Consider the following 7,879-nt stretch of genomic DNA (forward strand, 5'->3'; position numbering starts at 1 on the left):
GGGATCTAATTAAACTAAAGAGCTTCTGCATAGCAAAAGAAACTACCATCAGAGTGAACAGGCAACCTACAGAATGGGAGAAAATTTTTACAATCTACCCATCTGACAAAGGGCTAATATCCAGAATCTACAAAGAACTTAAACAAATTTACAAAAAAAAAAAATCAAACAACCCCATCAAAAAGTGGGTGAAGGATATGAACAGACACTTCTCAAAAGAAGATATTTGTGCAGCCAACAGACACATGAAAAAATGCTCATCATCACTGGCCATCAGAGAAATGCAAATCAAAACCACAATGAGATACCATCTCACACCAGTTAGAATGGCGATCATTAGGCCAGGCGCAGTGGCTCACACCTGTAATCCCAGCACTTTGGGAGGCAGAGGCGGGCGGATCACCTGAGGTCAGGAGTTCGAGACCAGCCTGACTAACATGATGAAACCCTGTCTCCACTAAAAATACAAAAAAAAAATTACCTGGTTATAATGGTGGGCGCCTGTAATCCAAGCTACTTGGGAGGCTGAGGCAGGACAATCGCTTGAACCCCAGAGGCAGAGGTTGAGGTTGCAGTGAGCTGAGATCACGCCATTGCACTCCAACCTGGGCAACAGAGCGACACACTGTCTCAAAAAAAAAAAAAAAAAAGAATGGCGATCATTAAAAAGTCAGGAAACAACAGGAGCTGGAGAGGATGTGGAGGAAATAGGAACACTTTTACACTGTTAGTGGGACTGTAAACTAGTTCAACCATTGTGGAAGACAGTATGGCGATTCCTCAAGGATCTAGAACTAGAAATATCATTTGACCCAGCCATCCCATTACTGGGTATATACCCAAAGGATTATGAATCATGCTGCTATAAAGACACATGCACACCTATGTTTATTGCGGCACTATTCACAATAGCAAAGACTTGGAACCAACCCAAGTGTCCATCAATGATAGACTGGATTAAGAAAATGTGGCACATATACACCATGGAATATTATGCAGCCATAAAAAATGATGAGTTCATGTCCTTTGTAGGGACATGGATGAAGCTGAAAACCATCATTCTGAGCAAACTATCACAAGGACAGAAAACCAAACACCACACGTTCTCACTCATAGGTGGGAATTGAACAATGAAAACACTTGGACACAGGGTGGAAAACATCACACACCGGGGCCTGTTGTGGGGTGGGGGAAGAGGGGAGGGATAGCATTAGGAGATATACCTGATGTAAATGACGAGTTAATGGGTGCAGCACACCAACATGGCACATGTATACATATGTAACAAACCTGCATGTTGTGCACAAGTACACTAGAACTTAAAGTATATATATAAAAAAAAAGAAATTAGCCTTGTCGGTCGGGCGCAGTGGCTCAAGCCTGTAATCCCAGCACTTTGAGAGGCCGAGGTAGGCAGATCACGAGGCCAGGAGATTGAGACCATCCTGGCTAACATGGTGAAACCCTGTCTCTACTAAAAATAAAAAAAAATTAGCTGGGTGTGGTCGCGGGCACCTGTAGTCCCAGCTACTCAGGAGGCTGAGGTAGGGGAATGGCGTGAACCTGGGAGGCGGAGCTTGCAGTGAGCTGAGATCACGCCACTGCACTCCAGCCTGGGAGACAGATCGAGACTCTGTCTCAAAAAAAAGAAAGAAAAAAAGAAATTAGTCTTGCCTGGGTGTAGCAGGAGGCTGAAAAAATTTAAAAAAATTAGCCAGATTGGTGGTATGCATCTGTAGTCCCAGCTACTTGGGAGGCTGAGATGGGAGGATCTCTTGAGTCTAGGCGTTTGAGGTTATAGTGAGCTGTGATCATGTCACTGCACTCTAGCCTGCTCAACAGAGTGAGAGCCTGTCTCAAAAAAGAAAAGGAAGGAAGGGACCGGGTGCAGTGGCTCACGCCTGTAATCCCAACATTTTGGGAGGCAGAGGTGGGAAGATCACGAGGTCAAGGGCTCAAGATCAGCCTGGCCAACATGGTGAAACCTCGTCTCTACTAAGAATACAAAAATTAGCTGAGCATAGTGGTGGGCACCTGTAATCCCAGCTACTTGGGAGGCTGAGGCAGGAGAATTGTTTGAACTCGGGAGGTGGGGGTTGAAGTGAGTTGAGATCACACCACTGCATTCCAGCCTGGGCTACAGAGCAAGACTCTGTGTCAGAAAAAGAAAAAAAAAGAAAAGAAAAGAAAAGGGAGGGAAGGAAGGAGGGAAAGAGGGAAAGAAAGAGAAAGAAAGAGAAAGAAAGAAAGAAAGAAAAAAGGAAGAGAACAAAAGAAAGAGAAAATTGGTTTCAATGCGTGTGCTGACTTGTGGCTATAACCTCAGATACTTGGGAGGCTGAGGTGGGAGGATGGCCTGAAGGCAAAAGTTGGAGGCTGCAGTGAGCTGGGACCACACCACTGCACTCCAATCTGGGCGACAGGGTAAAAGCGTATCTCAAAAAAAAAGAAGAAAAAAAAAAAAAAAAAGCAAGTTAGTCTCTGTGTGCCAGGACAGGACAGCTCAACCATTAAAAGTGTGGTGTTCCTGAGTATCTGAGACAGGCTACACAGAAGATCAACATTGGAAATCTCCAAGAGATCAACTTGAGTGCAACTCCCTCATTTCACAAAAAGAGGCTCAAAGAAGGATGGAATCTGCTCAAACACACACAGCTCGTTTGTTTGGATTCGCCTGGGCTCATGCTCTCAGAGCTCGTAAGAAAATTACTCAGGCCTTCAAACGCACCCGTCGAGGAAGGGAAGAAACTAGATCAGGCAGAAACTAGAAAGGATGTTTTTCGGACCCCCAAAGGCAGGCTGAGCCTATGACTCAGGAGGCATTTCGGGAACAGAGAGCTGGAAAAAAGAAGGGAGGGTCCCTGAAGGCCGGGGTGATGGAAGATAAGAAATTCGGATTTCAATCTCCCTACTTCCTCTGCTTCCTCAGACCCAGGCTGTATATAAACTGTATGCAAATGTGTTTACTTTACATTTTATTTCAATCGGAGTCACTCAGCTGTCGGGAGCTATGTCAACATGTCAGTCTGGTTGAGCAAACAAGCATTTTGAGTGGAAATATTTCAGATAAACAGACACAATGTTATGACATATCAAAACTCCCCAAACATGGAAAGAGGGTGGGGATGGTGGAGGAGAAGGGGGTGAAAAGCCGCAGAAAGGAGATCTATTTACCCTGGCACATGCGCTGTGTGGTCAGCTGAAAACAAAACAGGTTTTTTATTACTCGTGTGGTGTAGGGGGGAAGTTTCCCTTCTCTGTGGCGTTAATGCATCTTGTCAGCTGAAGAGAAGGCCTGCTTGGCGGGTTACCATGAACATTTCTCTTTGGTGTTCCTGCTGATTCTGCAGGAGGGAATCAGGCAAGAAAAGAAAAGAAAAACCCACCCGGATTAACTTAATTAGCGATGGGGAGGCCAGTTGCTTGGCGAAGTCCAACAACTTGTTTGAGGGTTGCCCTTGTTTTCGCTCCTTACTCGGGCTCTTTACAAACTGCCTTAAGGGGAGACACAAAGCAATGCCCTTGTTTGCGATCAGGGGTGGGGACGGGGGGTGTGCATGGCGGGGGGTGGGGTCGGGGCTGGGGGGGACCATGCGGACATTAGGCTACTCTCCTGCATGATGTATGTTTGTAAATTTCATCTTGGGAGTAGGTAATAAGGTTGCTTGGGTTCAATAACCAGAGGTATAAAAATGTATTTGGAGGAAAGTCTGTCTTCCTTCCTTCCTTCCTTTTTTTCTTTCCTTTCTTTCTCTCTTTCTTTCTTTCTTTTTCTTTCTTTCTTTCTTTTTTTCTTCCTTCCTTCCTTCCTTCCTTCCTTCCTTCCTTCCTTCCTTCCTTTTCTTTCTTTCTTCCTTTCCCTCCCTCCCTCCCTTCTTTCTTTTTTCTTTCTTTCCTTCCTTCCTTCCTTCTTTTTCTTTCTTTCTTTTTTTTTTCAGGTCATGCTCAGTTGCCCCCAGGCTGGAGTGCAGTGATGCAATTACAGCTCCCTGCAGCCTCGAACTCCCAGGCTCAAGCCATCCTCCCACCTCATCCTCCTGAGTAGCTGGGACTGTAGCTTACCACCACCCCCAGCTCATTTTAAAATTTTTGGAAGAGATGAGGTCTCGCTATGTTGCCCACAGGCTGGTCTCGAGCTCCTGGCCTCAAGTGATCCTCCTGCCTCGGCCTCCCAAAGCTTTAGGATTATAGGCATGAGCCACTGAGCCTGGTCTAAAGGAATGTTTTCTTCTCTTTCTTCATCTACTCATGTTTTCATCCCTCATCCCCAAACGTACATATACCCAGATTATATTTTGTTGGGTGACATTTCTTTTTAGTCCCCAAGCCATAGTCTGATGGGCTATGTCTAAAAGAAAATTCACCTTTTCTTTAAAATAATACACTGCTTATCCACACCTACAAGGTGCCGCCTTCTGTGGACATCCATTTTGATCATTCTCAAAGTTTGGAATTATTCACCTCCTGTTGGAGGCAGGAGCCTGAGGCCCAGAGGTGCAGGGGCACACCCATAGCCATACAGCTGGCCAGAGACAGAGCCAGAACTCAAACTCAGATCTGTCCAGCTCCAACGTCTACATTCTTCCAGCTCCACCAAATTCTTGGTTGAGCTTGCCGGGGAGAAACTGTGTAGCAAGGTAACTTTTGGAGGATTTGAGAGCCTCCAGCCAGCCCAGCTAGGCCAAACTTGTCCACTCCTGAAATGAAGTTGCCCAGAAAAAGAACTGCCTGCCTGTCCAAATGCTGGACTCAGCAGCTGCCTAGGGGATGCGCTCAAAAGATGTTGGCAAGTCCCCCACCGTCCAAAAATGTCTCCCCCTGCCACCTGTCACATGGCCTCAAATTCCACCCTCAGAAAGGTATGCCCCTGGGCTTCAATTTAAATACTTTTTTTGGGCACGGTTTCAGTGTAGACACTTTCCCTTGGAGAGGTTATACCTACGTCTTTCCCTCAAAGTCCCTTCTCAGCAGGGCGGCTAGCCCAGGGCTTGGGCTTGGAGGATGAGGTCACCATGTAGATATCTGGGGAGGTAAGGGGGGAACCAGGGGAAGGGAGCTAAAAAGGGGGCTGGGCAGACCAGGGATGGAGCCCAAGGGTCCTGACCAACAGTTGTATGGAGCATGGGGCTGCTGGGAGACAAAGCTTCATATGTTTCCCCGAGTGAGGGTCCCCGCAAGGCCCCACCTGTCTCCTTGCCAATCCCGGCTGGTGTGTTTTAGGTTGGAACCCTAAATAGCCATGCTAGGGGGCAGGGGAAGCCCAAGGCTTGTCATGGGCTCGTAGAATGTCACAGCTGCCACCCAGCAAGTCCTGTACTTCAGTCAGCCACGTTCCTTCTTAGCTCTGTTTTTCCATGATTACACCACCTGTAGGATTACTCTCTTCATATTTTCCTCTAAACCAACTCACTTAAAAAATTAAATAAACATCTATTTTAAGGCCTGCACACATGAGTCTTTCCCACCAATAAGGGATACAGACATAGTCAAGCTCTCTAGCTTTTGTGTGGCAAATGCAAGAATTATTTTTTAGAGGAAAGCAAGCATTCACGACATTTTCATTTTTTATGATTATTATTTTTTTGAGACAGAGTCTTGCTCTGTTGCCCAGGTTGGAGTGCTGTGGCGCTATCTCAGCTCACTGCATCCTCCACCTCCTGGGTTCAAGTGATCCTTGTGCCTCAGCCTTTCAAGTAGCTGGGATTACAGGTGTGCACCACCATGCCTGGCTAATTTTTGGATTTTTTTAGTAGACACTGGTTTTCCCCATGTTGCCCAGGCTGGTTTTGAACTTCTGGCCTAAGTGATCCACCCACCTTGGCCTCCCAAAGTGTTGGGATTATAGGTGTGAGCCACCACTCCCAGCCCATGAAAAATTTTTTTAAAAAGAAAACATTTAGATACACACACTTCAGTCTCTATTGCTGAAAGTTTGATTTGCTAATTGTATTTTTCTTCTCCTTCTCCTTCTTCTTCTTCTTTTCTTGGGACAGACTCTCACTCTTGTCATCCAGGCTGGAGTGCAGTAGCATGATCTCGGCTCACTGCAACCTCCACCTCCTGGGTTCAAGTGATTCTCTTGCTTCAGCCTTCCAAGTAGCTGGGATTACAGGTGCTCACCACCAAGCCCGGCTAATTTTTTTTGTATTTTTAGTTGAGATGGGATTTCACCATGTTGGCCAGTCTGGTCTTGAACTCCTGACCTCAGGTGATCTGCCTGCCTTGGCCTCCCAAAGTGCTGGGATTATAGGCGTGAGCCACTGTGCCCCGCCAATTGTATTTACTTTCTAGTACATGGTAAAATGAACTATTAGAGTAAAAATTAGTGGCCATCCAGATGCTCTCATAAATCATATGAAAGGTATTATGTCTTGCTCAAGTCACCAATTTTATGTAGAAGGAAACAGGTTCAAGAGAGAAAACTTGGGCAGGGGACACAGCTGGCTGGGAGCAGGATGAGGCCCAAGAGGCATCATGGAGACAGAAAGACCCGTGGATGGGGAGTCAGGAGACCCTGACAATAGCTCCAAATCTAAAAGCAGAAGCCACTTCTGTTTCCTATCTGGGTCTTGATTTCCCCAACTATGAAACAGGAAAATGATGTTACTATGGGGGCTCTAAAACTAGGAGGAATTAGAGATGGATTTGAAATCCTGGAAATTTTTTTTCTTTTATTGAGTCGAGATTCACTTAACATAAAATTAACCATTTTACTTTTTCTTTTCCCTTTTTTTTTTTTTTTGAGATAGATTCTCACTCTTTTGCCCAGGTGGGCATGTAGTGGTGTGATCTTGGCTGACTGCAGCCTCCGCTTCCCAGGTTCAAGCGATTCTCCTGCGTCAGCCTCCAGAGTAACTGGGATTACAGGTGTGCACCACTACACTCGGCTAATTTTTGTATTTTTAGTAGAGACGGAGTTTTGTCATGTTGGTCAGGTTGGTCTTGAACTGCTGACCTCAAGTGATCCGCCCGCCTTGGCCTCCCAAAGCGTTGGGATTACAGGCATGAGCCACCACACCCGGCCAGATTCTTTGATTCTTGACTTCCAGCTCAGCAGCTCCACACTAAGAAGGCCTTGTCCTCCTTCCTTTGTTGTTTAGTTTGCTTTAAGCAGCCTCCTCTAAGCCGGGAAGTGAACTGGGCAAGGAGGATCCAACTATCAGGGCTTCTAAACTCCGTGGCGGTGGACAGAGGTGGGAGACCTGGGCTCATGGGAGGCTCTCTAGAGAAGGCGACATTAACTAGCTTTTGAAGGTTGTCTGAGTGGGCCAAGAGGTGGGAAAGGTGATTCTGAATGAGGAGATGGCGCTTCCCAGTCGTGTTGGCTTGGCAGGGACAGAGCTGGCTGGAGCTGCCTTTCCTCCCCCACGCTGCTCTGAGATCCTGGAAGCACAAGTGCTTGGAAATGCTGTGTCTCCCTGACCCACCCACTCATCAGTGGAGCAGATGCGGGCCATTACTCTGATTGCTGCTGAAAGCGGTGGCTGGGGCCCAGGGCACGTCTGAGGATCACTGAGGGCCCTGGGAAAGTGGGGGCCCTACAGAGGGTCAGCCCCCACACACCCCAGAGGCAGGTGTTCTGCAAGCTTCCCATAGAGGCCTGCCAAGATTGTCCTCCTGCTATGCGGCACGCACGCAGGCGTGCCATTTCAGCTCTGGGCCTCTCTCCTGGAGCAGCTGGCAGGGGCATCTGTGGGTGGTGAACAGGACGGGGGGCCGGAGACCCTGGCTGACCTGTAGCCCTTGGGCCTGGAACTTCTCCCGCTTGTGTGCCTGGGTTGCAGATTTTCCGGGCACCTTCTTGGTAGAAGGCAGGCGGGATCTGGTTTCACGGCGAATTCAAAAGGGGCAAAGCAACGCGGCGCCTCCTGAATTCCTG

General features: G+C 47.4%; 2 annotated features.

The window, feature by feature from the left end:
- Positions 5,127–5,627: an enhancer, noted in NCBI's record as "H3K4me1 hESC enhancer chr12:115253275-115253775 (GRCh37/hg19 assembly coordinates)". NCBI's record gives its function as "activates a minimal SCP1, AML or CMV promoter by ChIP-STARR-seq in primed H9 embryonic stem cells {active_cell/tissue: H9 hESC(primed)}" and the evidence as "EXISTENCE:reporter gene assay evidence [ECO:0000049][PMID:30033119]".
- Positions 7,140–7,662: an enhancer, noted in NCBI's record as "H3K4me1 hESC enhancer chr12:115255288-115255810 (GRCh37/hg19 assembly coordinates)". NCBI's record gives its function as "activates a minimal SCP1, AML or CMV promoter by ChIP-STARR-seq in primed H9 embryonic stem cells {active_cell/tissue: H9 hESC(primed)}" and the evidence as "EXISTENCE:reporter gene assay evidence [ECO:0000049][PMID:30033119]".

Source organism: Homo sapiens, chromosome 12 (genome assembly GCF_000001405.40).
Source record: "Homo sapiens chromosome 12, GRCh38.p14 Primary Assembly".
In the NCBI taxonomy this organism is placed as follows: domain Eukaryota; kingdom Metazoa; phylum Chordata; class Mammalia; order Primates; family Hominidae; genus Homo; species Homo sapiens.